Below are 17649 nucleotides of genomic sequence, written 5' to 3'. Positions count from 1 at the left end.
TCTCTGTTTCCCTGTCTCATTACCAGACAAATATAGTAGTCATCTAATAAATGTGAAGAAGAGAAGCAGTGACAGAATCAAAAGGTGGTAATATTGACAATCAATGGAAACAGTAGGGAATTGGACTAAGCATAAGCCTTGCCACTGCCACTGTTGGTGTTGAGACTTTGGATGAGTTATTCAACCTTTGTTAGGCCTCAGTGTTTTTATATGTAAAATGGAAATGTTATTCCATTTACTCTGTCAGGGCTTGAGCAAACAATTGTCAAGCAGTAGCTAACGATAATGCTTGTATTGGCTTTCTCATTTCTTGCCTTATTTCCCTTGTTTCTCAGTCTTTTTGACATTGCCTGCCCTAAAATGGTAATAATATATAGGATTTTGATTCAGGCTGTACTTTCTGAGGAACCCAGGCTTAGATAAGATTTTTAAAATGTAAACTTTCTAAATTACCAAATGAACACTCACTAAACAAAACAAGGAAATTACAGATCATTTAGTGAAACATTTATAAAAGCAACAAAAACAATGCTAACATAAAACACAATCACACGACAAAATCTATATGGCCTATCAGCAAATTTAAATGGTCCAAAAATCTTCCAGATTGGATTTAAAAAAGAAATATATGCTGTATTTAAAACTACTCAGCAATATTGAAAATAAAAAATAGAAAAAGCCATACCAGGCTAATAAAACGAAGTCAGAAGTCACAGTCTTAACATTAGATAAGGTCCAACACATTACAAATAAAGAAAAGGAGAAGGACATGTTGTAATTGTCAAGAAGGCAATCCTTAGTAAAGATCTAACCATTATGAAAATCTGTGTATCAGGTAACAGTATTCAAAGTCACTGACAGCCTTTGGGAATTACATGAAACAATACATCAGTATAAGGAGTCTTTAACTCATACTTCTCAACCTATGACAATGTAAGTAGACAAAAGATGAGTATGTGGAAAATGTACATGCTATAATTAATACAGATAGTGATACCAAATTTTGTAGGCTAAAAAAAATGCAACTCGTATTCATAAAAGTAACTATATTAGACCACAAGGAAAATTTTCCAGAAGTAAAAATATAGGCAGCTTCTCTGATAACAATACATTAAACTGGAAAATAAACTTGGTGAGATGGGATGAAAGCCTTATTTTAAATTTGTTTTCTCAAGAGCTTATAAAAGGGGAAAGATAAAAAGAGGAAAGATAGAAGAGGAAACCAAATTTGAAATTATGTAATATTTTGAAAATAGAGATAATAAAAACACTACATATCAGATCTATAGATCTAGCTAAAGCTGTGATTAGAGGAAAATTCATCACTTTAAAAATTTATGCTAATGAGAATAACTGAATATAAACATATTAAAAAGATTTGACTCAAGGCATTAGAACAATAATGAACCTGAAGAAATAAAAAATGGAACTTAATAAAAAATGAAAAGAGATACAAAATAGAAATAGGAAAATTGTTGGACATATGAATAAATCCAAGATCTGTTGTTTTTTGAAAATGGTAGCAAAATGTGAAAAGTATTAGCTAACTGGATCAAGAAAAAAATTACAAATACACAAAAATGAGATTGCAGAATAAACAAATTTAGATGAATTATGAGATAAATCTCAATTCTATGAAAATAAATTTGGAAACCTGGATGGAATGGATAATTTTCTGGGAAAACATGAAGTTCCAAAATTGATCCTCCGCTCCAAAAATACAGAAAATATAAATAGAACAGTTACCACAGGAGAAATAAAATTGTCAAAAAGCTACAACTCCCAAAATACAAAACCTATGTGATCTGATAGATGAACGTTAGCAAATTTTTAATGAAAAAGAATTGGCAATGCCATTGTAACATCTTCATAACAGAAAAGCAAGAGAGAGTGCACTTTATTAATTTTATGAGTTGAGCATAATCTTGTTATGTGTCACTAGCACCTAGTGCTTAAGCACATAGATTCTAGCCATACCTTGAGCCAGCCATGAAATCTTTGTGTCAGAGAAAGTTGACTGTCCACCAAAAGCTAATTTTTGTTAACATAGAACATAGCTGTAATTGGAATATGATTCCCACTCAAGAGTTTTTAATCAGTTTCCCTTTCAGCTATACTAATTCTCAACCATGGAATGTAACTAGAAGTGATGTTTACCATTTCAAGGCAAAGACTTTAAGCAGATATATCCTCCTTGTGGAAGGCATAATAATGTCCGTTCAAAGATCCTAATTCCCAGAACCTTTGAATATGTTAAGTTACGTGGTAAGGGGGAATTTAAGGTTGAAGACAGAATTAAATTGCTAATCAGCTGACCTTAAATGAAGGAGATTATCTTGGATAAGCTGGATAACAGGCCTGATGCAATCACAAAGGTCCAAAAGTGGAAGATGGAGGCAGAAGAGTCAGCATCAGAGTGATTTGTTATGAGAACAACTTGACTGGCCATTGCTGACTTTGAAGATGAAAGAGAGCCATGAAGCAAGGAGTATAGATAGCCTCTAGAAAATGGAACAGGTAAGGAAACAAATAGTCCCCTAGAGCCTAGGAAAGGAATGCAGTCCTGCCACACCTTGATTTTAGCCCAGTAAGACCTGTTTCAGACCTCTGCCTACAGAATTGTGAGAGAATACATTTGTGTTGCATCAAGTCACAAAGTTTGTGGTAATTTGTTACATCAGCAATAGGAAACTAATACTTTACTCTCATTTTTTCTTTGGCCAGCATGGTACAGTTGACAATGGAGCCTTAGGTGATGGTTGAGCCACAAGATGGAAGGATCCTGGGCCTCTAAATCACCAAGTAAAGCAAAGTTATCTTTGAATCACACACTTTAGACTCTCACGTGGGAAATAATTGTATTTGAATGATAGCATTTGTTACAACTTATCCCATCACAATGAGTTCAAATCTGTGCCTCAGCTTTCTTATTTTAAATAATGAGAAAAATAAGAGTAGTTACCTCAAATAGTTTTTGTGAAAATTAAATAAGTTATTATATCTAAAGTGTTTAGAATGATTCGTGACACATAGTATGTTATCATTAAAAGTTAATGTACATATAGACATGCATGCATATGCACACACCACACACTGAATTTATAGTATCTCTGATGAACATCAGTGTGAACATTCTAAATAAAGGATTGGCTTATTGGTAGATAGACTGCAGCAACATGCTCAAAGAATCATATCTGTGGCCCAAGAGTGGTTTTTTTTTTTTTTTTTTTTTGAGATGGAGTCTCGCTCTGTCACCCAGGCTGGAGTACAGTGGTGCGATCTCGGTTCACTGCAAGCTCCGCCTCCCGAGTTCATGCCATTCTCCTGCCTCAGCCTCCAGAGTAGCTGGGACTACAGGCACCCACTACCGCGCCCGGCTAATATTTGTATTTTTAGTAGAGACAGGGTTTCACCATGGTCTCGATCTCCTGACCTCATGATCTGCCCACCTCGGCCTCCCAAAGTGCTGGAATTACAGGCATGAGCCACCGCGCCCAGCCAAGTGGTTTCTTTTAAAAACACAAAAAATTCAGTATGAAATGTTAATGTCCACCATTAGTACTGACTGAAAACTAGTTTCTTTCTGGCTCATGAGTTAGAAACAATATGTATATGTTTTCTTTTTGGAGGGGAGGGTAGCATTTTTTCATAATAGTTCAACAACAGTGAGACACTAGATGATAAAAACCATCTCACATGTTAAAATTCTGTTGTTGGGTTTGTTTGTTTTTGCGGTGATGGTGGTGTTTTGTTTTTTGTTCTTTGTGTTTTTTTCCCCCTCTAACAGAGTTTGGGGTAGGTGTCAAACTGTAACTGCCTAATTCTGATTATGGATGATTTTTCTAGTATCAGGGCTCTATGCTCATGTACTAATAGTGCAAGACTGGAAACATAGTATATAAATAAATGTATTTCTTTTACACATCGTATTAACTACAAATGGAAATATCATTTCCAGTAATATTTATTTGTAGCATTACATACAGGTATTTTTAGATTTACATGTGCCACCATAAAGAGGACCACTTGATTCCTCAATACCAAAAATATTCATTTGAAAAATAATTTGATGATGTAAATGTGAAGCTCATATTCATGAAAGAATTCACCCAGTCTAGAACTTCTACCTCCGGTGTGTTGAAGGATAACATGCTCTTTGGGGACAGAGGTTGTATTCTTGTATACTCCTTGCTGACACTGGTTTTGCTGATCCACTCTCCTGAGTGTTAGGCCTGGGAGGAGAATTTGGTTTGCTGAAATATTCTGCAACAGGTATTTTCATATTATTTCTTCTTATAAGTAGTGGAGGCTTGTGCTCAGCCTCTGAAATAGAGAAAAAAATCTAAATAAGACCATAATTGAGACACTGAATACACCTTCTCCATGTTTTAGTAGTAAATTATCTATAAAAAACTATATGAAGTTTAGGTGAATCAGATACACCCAAAATTCACAAAAGAATATATTCCTTTTCTTTTTTTTTCCACCACATGCTCATCTTTAATGAGTTATTTGTTCTGTAACATGCAGGATATGTTCCTTCACTCTCAAAAGTAAACATGATTTTGATTGCATAGAATTGTTTATGGGTAAGAGTGACAGTGAGAGAAAGAAGGAAGATCTATGGTCCTGATAGATGTAACAAGAGAAGAGACAAACAGGCTAAGACAAGTTAATTGTGCTCGTAAGACCTACATAGTTGCACCCAAGCAGGAATAGGGATGTAAGGAGATGCTAAATATCGACAATGGAGAGAAAGGGGCATGACTTGGGAATTCTTATACAAAAAATTCCAAATATCTAAATGATAAAATATGTGTGAGCCTTACAGGTAAGACATAAAGTTGAATAATAGAAACCATCACTGTCATGATGTTATAGTCCCAGGATGAGGAGTTTGGTAGGAGAGGCCAGATACAATAGGCTGTCCTTGGAGTCTAAGTAAGGGAGTACTTTGTAATTTTTAAACTATACTTATTATTGGCTGTTAGGAGATAGTGTCTTTTTTGGGTTTGGTTAATCACAGTGGAACTTGCTGGAGTCTAGGGTGACCCCAGTGAGCTCTAATTGATTATATATCATTCCTGGTATAAAGGGAACTTGTAGAAATGACAAGACACATTTTTGTATAAAGCTTGTAGATACACTTCATAGTTGTTGCTCTGTAGTCATGAATGCTCTCCTTGTTTTAAAGCTAGAAACTGCCAAACCTATAAGGATACTTTGGGCTATTTTGGACCAAGGTAGGACTTTCCACAATTCTTGATTCTCCCTGGTTCCCCTACAGACTGGAGCTGGGCTTCTGGTGGAACACAAAACTGCTCTTTTCAATTGTATTTCAGCTGTCTTGTAGGTCACCTGCTTGTGGCTGATTGCCATTTTACTCTTCTCTCTGGTTGACTTTGTCTCCAGTGAAATTATTTAACTCCATTAAGCTGTGAAGAACCAAAACTCTGAGATCATTGTCCTTTTGTTAGGTCAATGCAGGGTTTCCCTTTTCACTGAATTGCTATAACCAAACCTATAGTTCCTGTTGTCCTGCTGTCTTGCTTCTCAAAGAGTGTCTGTCCATGATCAGGCACTTTGCCTTTCAAAACAAAGGTAAATTTATCTTTATGAGAAAGTAAGCAGATGCTCTCTCAAGAATTGATCTGGAAATTACTATTGTATTTTTCTGTTTTTTTAAAAGCACTGATCCTTAAAATCTGTTCCCTGAGTCATTAGTACTTACTGGTTTCTTTATACCAACTCAATAGTTACCAAAAACTGTACTTAACCTTTTGGTACTTCCTTGTTTTCTTCAGATCCTTGACTTGACACTCTAGATCAGTTGGAGAAAGAAAAAAGTGAATTTCACAGATACAAAAAAGTATTTTCTATAGACTACACTGTCATCAATAAGTTCAGTGTATATGTATCTTAAATATGCTACCCCAATTCTTTGTTTTTTTTAATGCATACAGTATTAAATTTACTTCCCAATGAAAAATTCTTCTTACTTTGAGTAAATATTTAACTATTGTATCATATGTTAGTCATTAAGGTACAGATTAACTCTTACTATCTTCTAGTTTCTGATTTTATGGAAACTTTAAGATACGGACAGTTAGTAATACAATTTTTTTGTCTTAATGCTTTTTAAAGTGACATATTTATATTTTCAAAAATGTATTTTTCCTCTAACTTTAAGCTTTACTCAACTTTTAATTTTAAAGCAACAAGATTTTCTCTCCTAGCTTAAATAACATCCTACCACACATTCTTTCACCATGATTCTACATAAATATATATTTTTCTTCTGTTATTGAAATAACAGCATTTAAGAAAAATTTCTCCTGCAATAATTTCAATTATTTTAGTAGTTATTTTTCTCTCTAGGGGGCCCCAGGAGTAAATCAGAGGAAATTAAGTGAAGCAATTTATTTTAATCTTGCATTGTTCTACACAAAAAAGTGAAACCTGTGTGATACACATTTAACAAAATATACAATAACTGTAACAATACAATTTTGTTTTCCTTAATTGCATCTATTTTTAGTTAAACTATAAAAATCTTTATTATCTTAGATTTCTAGGTAGCCACTCTTGCTTTTCCCTTAGTGGAAAAATAATTTTTCTTAAAAAGAAAGGTTACCAGATAAGAAAGACATAGTTTCTGCCAAAATGTTCTAAACAATAGAATTGAGAACAATTCTTATATTACATATATGAAAATGAAAGCAAATATATATTGCAGTCACTTACTGAATAAAGCGGAGCTTTAGAACCTCCTGTTTAACATTTTGAAAGATAAATAACAAGAGAATTCAAAGTCTTCATGTGCCATAGGCCCTCCCTCTAGGGGGCCATTATATCTAATTACCTGGTTGGTTGATCCCCTTCTGTATCTCTGGTCAGCACTTTTGATTTTGCAGTAAAATTTGGGGGCAATTTAACTGTGGGTGGTGATTTAACTGTGGGTGGCTTCCCAGTCTCTGCTGCTGGTTCCATTGAGGTGTTTCTTCTGTGATGAGTTAACAGGTTTATCTCGGCAAGCTCAGAATGAATCAAAGCTGAGACCCACTCTTTTTCTGGTTTAAAAGACAAAAAAGGGTGGGAGGAGTGAAGGTTGCAATTATCATGTTGGATAGAAACACAGGAATATCCAGCTCCTGAGTATGAAAGACTGGTCATCTATTTTCTGGATAGTTACCTATGTGGGAGTAAGGACTTCTGCAGAAAAGTTGGTTCATTTTAACATAGTTTCTGTTGACCTGTGATACTGTAGAGTGCCCAGAGTAGTTAACTCACTGAGGCACTTGTCCCTGAATAGCAGTGGAATAGTTTTAAAATATTGAGTACAGTAGCCAGTCTTACAGGCTGCTGCCAAAGATATAAGGATACCTATACAAAAATAAGAAGGGTAATATGATTCCATTAAAATACAGACTAATAGGTAATAAATAGTTACAAGCATATCTAGGAAGATATACACCAAAGTATTCACTGAAATGATGTCTGTGGTAATTTTATTGATTATTTTTTTTCTGTCTCATCTCTTTTTTTCTTTCTGGTTCATCTGTTCTTTCTCCCAACAATAAGGATTTATTACTTGTATAGTTTATTAAATGTTACATTCTTTAAAAGGAAAAATAATTGGAAGGTAACTAAAGACCCATCGCCTCTAAACACTTCTCAATTGCCTAAAAAGTAGTGTTGAATTCCTGGGGAAAGGTAATATTTCCAGAATGCTTCCTACTTTAAAACATTAGACTTCCTCACACATTGGTACTTGCTAGCATTGATCAGTGCAGTGATTCTCAAAGAGTAGTGCTGAGACCAGCATTATCAGCATCACCTGAGAACTTGTCAGAAACACAAATTCTCAAGTCCCACTGCAGAGATTTTGCCTCAGTCAGTCTGATGATCAACTACATTTGAGGATCAGCTACAAGTGAGGATAGCTCTCTGCCATTTATCATTGTCCCGATTGGGAATGGCATGTGTTTTCATGGAACAGGCCAGGAAGGGCCCAAAAGAGGTTAGGAAATGACTGAGTTGATGGTTTTGCTGGGCAAATGGCAGAGCTGTTACAGGTTGGATAGCTCTTCTACTGTTCTCCTTACCAAAGGAAAGAAATAAGCTTTGTGTTCAGAGTTAACAACAGGCCAGAGGATGTGCTCAGGGAGGCCTCTGGGTGTGTGGACTCTGGAGGAGCATAAACCAACTCTAGCTGAGAATAAGACCGCCCTTGGACACAAGTGTTTCATGTCACCCAAATGAGTTCAATTTAAAGCGTACTGAATTTTGGGTTCATTGAATGACCCACATGCATGCAGCTGGATATGCAGAACAGTAATCACCCTGATACTGAAACATTGCGGAAATAATATTGCAACATTATCTTTGCAAATCCAAGGTACAAAACTTCAGATATTGGCATATTCCCAGTTTCTGACAATAAATTGAGCTCAGTGTTTTAAAATTTATATCTTAATCGCACCTTTTGAAGTTGCATGAAGCAGCCACTGTAAAACTTCTGCCAGAGAATCAGTATGCAAAATGCTACAGAGCTTTGCCAGGATCTGACAGAGAACATTAGAGTTACATATGAGCAAATAAATAGTACAAGGCTTATCAGTTTTCCTTTACCTTCTCCAGAATCCCATCTTCCCAAATATCACTTTGTATATGATGTGCAATTTAGTTAATTGGGATTTTTAACTCACGAGCTCGATTTCAAATAGCACACAGTAGAATCTTAGTGAAAACAACATTTCCAGTACAATTAGCAGTTTAGGGTAGGCTATGGAGTGTGTTTGTCTGAGGTATTGCTCCTCACAAGAGGGCATTAGCTGCGGGGGTCTGCCTGCAGACCCTGACCTCAACAACGGATGAATAAAACATACACTGACACACAGATATTCTGTTTTGCCAGTCCAGCTGAGTGTCCAACCGCCTGTGCACCAAGAGAGGTTTGTCACTGCGGCTTGCCCTGAGCAGCTCACACTCCAGGCATTTATTTGATATACAATTAACAACAGAAGCTTTGAGTAAACACACTTGCAGATAATTAACATGGTTAAGAGAGTAGTTCTAGGAATGATTAAAGCTCAGGTACCAAGGTCTAAGGTAAATACCATTAGGGGGCAATATCCCTAGTCGACCTCCCCCCAAGAAGGCCATCTGGGTCAAAGGTTAGTTAATGGAGGTGGGGTAAACAGACAACTGGGGAAGCCTCTATTGTCCCTAGTATTTACCCTATGACCTGATGTTCTGAGGGAAGAACAGGCTGCCTCCAGCCTGTTCAATTATTACAAGCTGTGTAACCTTTTGGCCTTCCAAAAGGTTCGTGACTATTCCCTATAACTTTCCCTAATATTTGACTTTAATATTTCTGCCACCATCCTGAGTGAATCCCAACATTTGTCTTGTTTTGTCTGTTCAGTACCAACATCTTCTAGTAGGAACATACTTTTGGTGAATTTATCCTTCCCACTGTACCACAGGGTTCTAATGAGAATCCATCAGTCACAGAACTGGCCCCATCTGCCCTGCTCCTCTACATAATCTGAGACAGAGGGAACAGGCTGGAGACTGCCTGTGATGGGACCAAGTTCCCAGGGGAAGGGGCAGCCAGCATATCTGTGTTTTGGTCAACTCAGCTGTTCTAGCCTGCTGGCTCCAGGGAGTGCAGGCCATCTGGACAAGGAGGAGTCCGCCACAACACAGCACAGCTGCTGTGCCAGATCATGCCCAGACTGCTTCTTTAAGTGGGATCCTGGTCCATTCCTCCTCACTGGGTGGGGCCTTCCTGTGGGAATTTCAGCAACTCCAGCCAGGGTCATACACACAGAGCTCTGATCTCCCCCTGGGACAGAGCCCCTTGGGGGAGAGGCAGCTGTTGTCTCTGCATTTCAGTTGACTCAGCCATTCCAGCCTGCCAGCACTGGAGAGTCCAGGTCTGGACGTGGAAGAGTTCCCCACAATGCAGCATACCTGCTCTTCCCAAAAGCAGTCAGACTGCTTCTTTAAGTAGGTCCCTGATCCCATTCCTCCTGACCCGGTAATACCTCCCAATAGAAGCCTCTACACACCTCCTATAGGAGCATTCGAGCCAGCAACAGCTCAGTACCCCCCTAGGATGGAGATCCCAGAGGAAGGAGCAGGCAGACACCTTTGCTGTCTTGCAACTCTCACTGATGATACCTCTAGGTATGGGAAAACTCAAGGCAACCAGGGTCTGGAGCAGACCCCCAGCAAACTGCAGCAGCCCTACAGAAGAGTGGCCTGTTAGAAGAAAAACAGAAAAAAACAACAACAACAAAGATGCCACAAAAATCCCATTTAAAGGTCAGCAACCTCAAAGATTGAAGGTAGATAAGCCCACAAAGATGAAAAAGAATCAATGCAAAAATGCTGAAAACTCAAAAAGCCAGGGTGCTGCTTCTCCTATAAATGACTGCAACACATCTCAAGCAAGGGCACAGAACTGGGCTGAGGCTGAGATGGCTGAATGAGAGAAGTAGGCTTCAGAAGGTGGGTAATAACAAATTTTGCTAAGCTAAAGGAGCATGTTGTAACCTAATGTAAAGAAGCTAAGAATCATGATAAAACAATACATAAGCTGATAACAAGAATAGCCAGTTTAGAGAGGAACATAACTGACCTGATGGAGCTGAAAAACACAAGAACTTTACAATGTAATTGTAAGTATTCATAGCAGAAAAGACCAAGTGGAGGAAAGAATCTCAGAGCTTGAAGCATATCTTTCTGAAATAAGACAGGCAGACAAAAATAGAGAAAAAAGAATGAAAAGGAATAAGCAAAACCTCCGAGAAATGTGGGATTATGTAAAAAGACTGAACTTACAACTGATTGGAATACCTAAAAGAGATGAGGAGAATGGAACCAAGTTGGAAAACATACTTCAGGATATCATCTAGGAGAACTTCCCCAAACTACCAAGACAGGCCAACATTCAAATTCAGGAAATCTGGAGAACCCTGGTAAGATACTCCATGAGAAGATCCACCCTAAGATACATCATCGTCAGATTCTCCAAGGCCAAAACGGAAGAAAAAACATTAAGGGCAGCCAGAGAGAAAGGCCAGGTCACCTACAAAGGGAAGTCCATCAGGCTAACACCAGATCTCTCAGTGGAAACCCTACAAGCCAGAAGAAATTGGGAGCCAATATTCAACATTCTTAAAGAAAAGAGTTTCCAACCCAGAATTTCACATCTGGCCAAACTGAGTTTCATAAGCGAAGGATAAATAAGATCCTTTTTAGACAAGCAAATGCCGAGGGAATTGTCACCACCAGGCCTGCCTTGCTCCTGAAGGAAGCACTAAATATGGAAAGGAAAACTTTTACCAGCCACTACAAAAACACAGCTAAGAACACAGACCAGTGACGCTATGAAGCAACCACATAAACAAGTCTGCAAAATAACCAGCTAGCATCATGGTGACAGGATCAAATTCACACATAGCAATACTAACCTTAAATGTAAATGGGCTAAATGCATTAGAGAAATACAAATCAAAACCACAATGAGATACCATCTCACACCAGTCAGAATTGTGATTATTAAAAAGTCAAAAGACAATAGATGCTGGCAAGGTTGTGGAGAAAAAGGAACAATTTTACACTGTTGGTGGGAGTATAAATTAGTTCAACCATTGTGGAAGACAGTGTGGTGATTCCTCAGTGATCTAGAGGCAGAAATACCATTTGACCTAGCAATCTCATTACTGGGTATATACCCAAAGGAATATAAATTATTTTGTTATAAAGATATATGCATGCATATGTTCACTGCAGCACTATTCGCAATAGCAAAGTCATGGAATCAACCTAAATGCCCATCAATGATAGACTGGATAAAGAAAATGTGATACATATACACCATGGAATACTACGCAGCCATGAAAAAAGATCATGTCTTTTGCAAGGACATAGATGGAGGTGGAAGCTATTATCCTCAGCAACTAATGAAGGAACAGAAAACCAAACACCACATGTTCTCACTTATAAGTGGGAGCTGAACAATGAGAACACATGGACATATGGTGGGGAACAACACACACTGGGACCTGTCAGGGGGAGTTGGGGGAGAGGGAGAGCATCAGGAAGAATAGCTAATGGATGCTTGGCATAATACTTAGGTGATGGGATAATCTGTGCAGCAAACCACCAGGGCATACATTTACCTGTGTAACAAACCTGCACATCCTGCACATGTACCCCGGAACTTAAAATAAAAGTTGAGGGAAAAAATAGTGTTTTGTTCTTGAACGTAATTAATATATTGGCAAGTGAACTTGATGTCTTGAAATTTTATTTTAGGATTTGAGAATCTAGCCTAGAGTAGCCTCTATTGCAGGGCTATTTTTAAGGTGTAACTTTTCTGGGGTCTGAATTGAAGTCCTGGTATGTTCCCGCAAGGTATCTTCACTCTGGCAAGGTCTTTTCAAGGTTTCTTAGAACTCCAGCAACTCTAAGCTCTGTGATACCTCCCATTATCTCTCCTTACCAGGTCTCAGAATCACCCTGTACCTGTGAGGCTTCATATTGGACTGAACACTTAATGGTACCCCTAAATTTCTGGAGCTCATTCTCTGCATAGATTTATCTTCTTCAGATCTTACTTTGCAAGTTCCAGCCACCTCAGCATCCTCAAATGCTAAACTCTGTTTTCTGTACCTAGTGAAGCTGCTGCTCTCTGTTCAGGCTCCACTTCTCTGTGCCATGATTAGGCATGTGCCCCAGGCAGAAGTCTGGGTTGAATATTGAAATAACCCCAATTGTTTCTCTTCTCTCAATGGTCCAATCTGTAGTGTCTGTTGCCCAGTACCTGAAAATCATTTCTGTATATATTTTGCTGAATTATATAGTTTTTTACAGCAGGAGGTTAAGCGTTGAGCCTAATCTATCATTTTGGAACCAGAGTCCCTTGTTTGCAACTTTGTCACCCCTTATCTCCCCAAATTAATCTGCATATTGTATCCAGAGTGATTTCTAAAGTACAGTTCTAACTATGTAATTCTTACGCTTACAAAGTAATTCAGTATCATTTAGTGCTTAAAATTCTTTGCTGGCTTCCCACACCCCTTGGGATGAAATCTGGACACCTTGATAGGACTTATAAAGTATTACATTATCCAGTCTGTTCTTAAGTCTCCAGCCCCATCTCTTGCCACTTTCTCCATGCACTGTCTGCATCAACCATATTAATTGTTGTTCGTTGTTTTAAATAAGCAATGCTCTCACTCCTTAGTCTTAAGATACGAAGGTCACTTGACTGGGAAAGATCTCTTCCACACTTCTCTTTATCTTCTAATTATATCCTAAACATTCTTTATGTCCCTTTCTCCTTAAAGGCTCTCTGAGCTACAAAGTCTCCTGGTACATATTCTTATAACAGCTGCACTATTATTTCATAACCTCTATGAATGAAGAAATTAATTGTGTCCTCACACTCTAGTATTTTGTAGTTTGACATTAAATATTTACAGAATAAATGGATGTGTTTGGTCCACTCTTCTTTTTAAATTTGAGACTCAGCGGGTACATGTGCATGTTTGTTATGTGGATATACCAAATAATGCTGAGCTTTGGGCTTCAGTTGACTCCATCACGCAAATAGTGAACAGAGTTCCGGATAGTTTCTCATTCTTTGCTTTCCTTCCTTCCTCCTACATTTTGGAGTTTCCAGTGCCTATTGTTCTCATCTTTATGTCTACATGTTCCCAGTGTTTAGGTCCCATTTACTGGTGAGAATATGCGGTATTTGGTTTTCTGTTTCTGTATTCATTGACTTAGAATAATGCCCTCTAGCTGCATCCATGTTGCTGCAAAATGTATTATTCCATATTTTATGGCTGTGTAGTATTCCATGGTGTATATGTACCACATTTTCTTTATCCAATTCATCACTGATGGGCACTGAGGTTGATTCCATGTCTTTGCTATTGTGAATATTGCTGTGATAAACATGCCAGTGCGGGTGTCTTTTTATCTTTTAGAACAATTTATTTTCCTTTGTGTATATACCCAGTAATGGGACTGCTGGTTTGAATGGCAATTCTATTTATAGTTCCTAGAGAACTCTCCAAACTGCTTTCCACAAGGGCTGAACTAATTTATAGTCCCACCAACAGTTTATAAGAGTTTGGCAGACATTTTGGTGTTATGTCTATAAAGATCTTTGGAAGGAAGGCTTAAAACAAGGTGCTAATAGACACGGAATTATGTTTCTCTTTCCTTTTAAAGTAATAATCATGAAACTGCATACCTTTTCACACATACCCCTGCAAAAACATTTCCTGATTTCACAGCCCATTTAGAGTTACTCAATGGATAGTAGGAAATTAGAAAATATTACACATTTTTTTGTAGGAAACATGGAAGAATAGAATGCCTCCAAGATGAGCAGTATTTCCGGGGCTCTTTTATACAAGCCAAAACATCTTGATAAAACCTACTTTATCACTTTATTCCCTCTCCGTTCATTTATTTAGCAAATAGTCAACAACTATTTGGCAAAATGCCATTGTCTGTGTGCCAGTTAATATTTTTCAAGCGAAGTGGTGAGTGCTAAGAAATCAGTTGTGAACAAGGCAGACAAGATCCCTGCCTTCAAAGAGTTTATATTTTAGTGTGTTTTATATCAACCGATGTCCAGTGAAGTTGATTTTTGTAGGATAGAAGATGCTTTTGAGAGGAGGGCTCTTTCATAGATGCCCAGAAAGCCAGCTCTATAGGATCACGCTGTTCTATTGATATGCCCAAGGAAGAATGACAGTCTTACTAAAACTGCATTCATTTTATGGATTATTTGAGTTGAGAACTATATATTTAGCTGATTTTCTACAGTTATCCTTTTGATTTTGAGTTCACTTTTCCTTTTAATTTATTTATTCAATATCCAACAAATACTTATCTAACAATTACTAGGTGTCCAGCACTCACCTAGGCACTGAAGATTAAGCAGTAGCAAAGGCAGACAAGTGTGAGATCTTATATGATTTAAATTTCAGTGGGAGTGGGGCGAGGAGAGAGACAAAATATTGAACTAAATAAATAAGTCTGAACATACATATATAGCATATTTATGCAAAAAAAAACAAAGGGTAATGGGATATAGAGTGACTGGTTAGCTACTTTAGATTGGATGGTTAGAGAAAGTATCTCTGAGTAAGCAATACTGAAACTGAGACCTTAATGAGCAGGTGATCACTGAGCCAATAAAGAGAAAGATAATTCTTAGAGGAAAGCTCTTAAGGTGAGAATGAGAAAATTATAGAAAGATCAAAGTGGCCAGAGTGTAGCAGGTGAAACAGTGGTTCTGAAGACTCTGTATAATATAAAGCCTTTAGCCAGAATCATCAGGAAATAATGTATAAACATAAGTCAAATATGTAGATACTCTCCTTTCTATACATTTCCTTTTATTCTCCTCAAGTTTAATTATCAGCATAAATTATTACACCAATGTCACTATCATACTCTGTGCTCTACTTTTAAAATACTTCTTTGTTAGGCTTATTCAATAACCATCTCTACAACATGCTCTGTTATTTGTATTTATAACTATAGACACTGATTACTTAAAATTCCAGTTAGAGGCATCATTACAATCTTCTAACCCTTAGTTCATTGTAGTGGGACTTATGGTGGTTCAATATGGAGGTTACCAAAGAGATTAAAAGAAGGAAAAAATGGCAGATGACAAATATCAGCTGACTGACGTATTCTTGATTTTATATCATTCTCAGAAATAACTGTGGCTGGGGACGGCCTTTCAGGAAGCTGATATGACATATTACTATTAATATAACTAAGTTTATAACCCCAGACAGAGAAAGTTTGAAGACATAGTTTTGCAAGGAAAAGAGGAAGAGATGAATGTTGATTGGAGGAATCTATGCTTTAAAATATGAGAAGTAAATGTATAGATTGCGGCAAGACATTAAGAGTAGTGTCTCTCAAGTATTAGAAAGATGATAACGAAAGATGGAAAGAATAGGGTTGGGTTTGTGTGATAAACACCAAGCTTTTCATTACGTCTGAATCAAAGATTGTGTTTATCTGACAGTGGCAAGATTCCAAGGAAAGTTAAGACTGGGAATGAAAATAGGAGTATGCCTTGGATTTCAGGCTAAGCAGTCTTAAATCAATTCAGTTATCAGTAAGGAATCATTTAAGAGTTTTAAGGATGCTAGTGGTATAAATTTTTTTGTATATTCATGCTGTTTCCAAGTTATGGATTTGATAAACCTGATACTTACTTTTATTTCCTGATCCAGATAGTTTGGTATGCAAATGGTGTTTGCTTTCACATCATTCTTGGTACTTGTCATCCCTGAAGAACAGGAGCCAGGAGTAGAGCATGCCTTTGGAGGTGATGGTGGTCTTTTGGCCTTAATTTCTTCCTAAATCAAAAGTATAATATAACCAATATACATTTGCATCCACCTATATTTTCTATGAAAATTCAATGTAAAATGAATGAGAAATATTGTGCCTAATAAGAGAGATACATGAAAGTAAAAAAAGGTTAGTTTTATCTTAAGCTATCAAATATTTATATTTGGAGACAAAACAAATAGTGATATCTTATTAACTTTTGATGAAATCATTTTAAACTCTTGGCTAAATAACAAGATAACAAATTTGTAATATGCAATGTATGACCTTTTATATTGCAGTTTCAGATAACAGCCAACTCATGACACATGAGATTTGCTGTTAAGTTGGGAAGATTTCTCTTTTATGGCCAGGAAAAGACAGCTGAGAGGTTTTATGCTTTGTCTGTGAAGCAACTGCATGATGCAAATTGCTACTTCCTTGCTGCAAGTAACAGCTAACAGCTGAGAGTTAGAAAGGCAAACTAAATTTCTTCCCTTTATCAGTTGGAAGGGAAATAGAAAGGTTATTTTCCCATTCTGGGAGGTAAGTATACTGTTTGCAATTTTTAAAAATTAAAAGGTTCTGGGAGCTTTTAAGTCCATGAAGAGTTACAGAAGCCTTAGATCCATGGGCCTGTTCCAGGAAAGGCTTTCTACCCTTCAGAAGTGACTGATTTATAACAACACATAGAACTTAGTGCCTAAATGAGCCAACAACCTGGGATTTTGATGATTGGAATTGATAAAACAATATTTAACTTTATGTTTAGCAAAAATAAATCTACATTATATTTGAGGCATTCTTTTTTTAAGTTTATTATACAGACTTTGTTATGGAAAAATAGTAACACAGTAAGTCCTTAATGTTGTTGATAGCTCTTAGAAACTGACTTTACGTGAGATGATGTATAACAAATCCAATTTTTTTTTCTCATCAACTGATATGGTTGGCTCTGTGTCCCCTCCCAAATGTCACCTTGAATTGTGATAATCCCCATATGTCAAGGGCAGGATCTGGTGGAGTTAATTGAATCATGGGGTCAGGTTCCCCCATACCATTCCCATGAAAGTGAGTTCTCATGAGATCTGATGGTTTTTATAAGTGGCCTCCCCCTTTACTTGGCTCTCACTTTTCTTGACTGCTGCCATGTAAGACATGCCAGTTTTGCCTTCTGCTATGATTGTAAGTTTCTTGACTCCTCCCTAGCCATGCAGAACTGTGAGTCAATTAAATCTCTTTTCCTTATAAATTACC

General features: G+C 37.2%; 1 protein-coding gene across 2 annotated transcripts in view; it reads right to left on the bottom strand.

Annotated features, from left to right (window-relative positions):
- The window catches only part of C4orf17 (chromosome 4 open reading frame 17), a 31283-nt gene continuing 17563 nt past the window's right edge, over positions 3930-17649 (bottom strand). The window contains exons 5-9 of one of the 2 annotated variants that reach the window (NM_032149.3): positions 16275-16418; positions 8483-8564; positions 6863-7070; positions 5778-5821; positions 3930-4323 (exon numbers count right to left, since the gene is read on the bottom strand). In NM_032149.3, the coding sequence (NP_115525.2) occupies positions 4124-4323; positions 5778-5821; positions 6863-7070; positions 8483-8564; positions 16275-16418 (678 nt within the window). In that variant the 3' untranslated portion in view covers positions 3930-4123. Of the gene's footprint in view, positions 4324-5777; positions 5822-6862; positions 7071-8482; positions 8565-16274; positions 16419-17649 lie in introns of those variants that run through there. The other variant, XM_011532315.3, reaches the window with a different exon arrangement.

This window comes from Homo sapiens, chromosome 4 (assembly GCF_000001405.40).
Source record: "Homo sapiens chromosome 4, GRCh38.p14 Primary Assembly".
Taxonomy (NCBI): Eukaryota; Metazoa; Chordata; class Mammalia; order Primates; family Hominidae; genus Homo; species Homo sapiens.
Note: the sequence above shows the minus strand (reverse complement) of the source record. Positions and strands in the feature narration are given on the sequence as shown.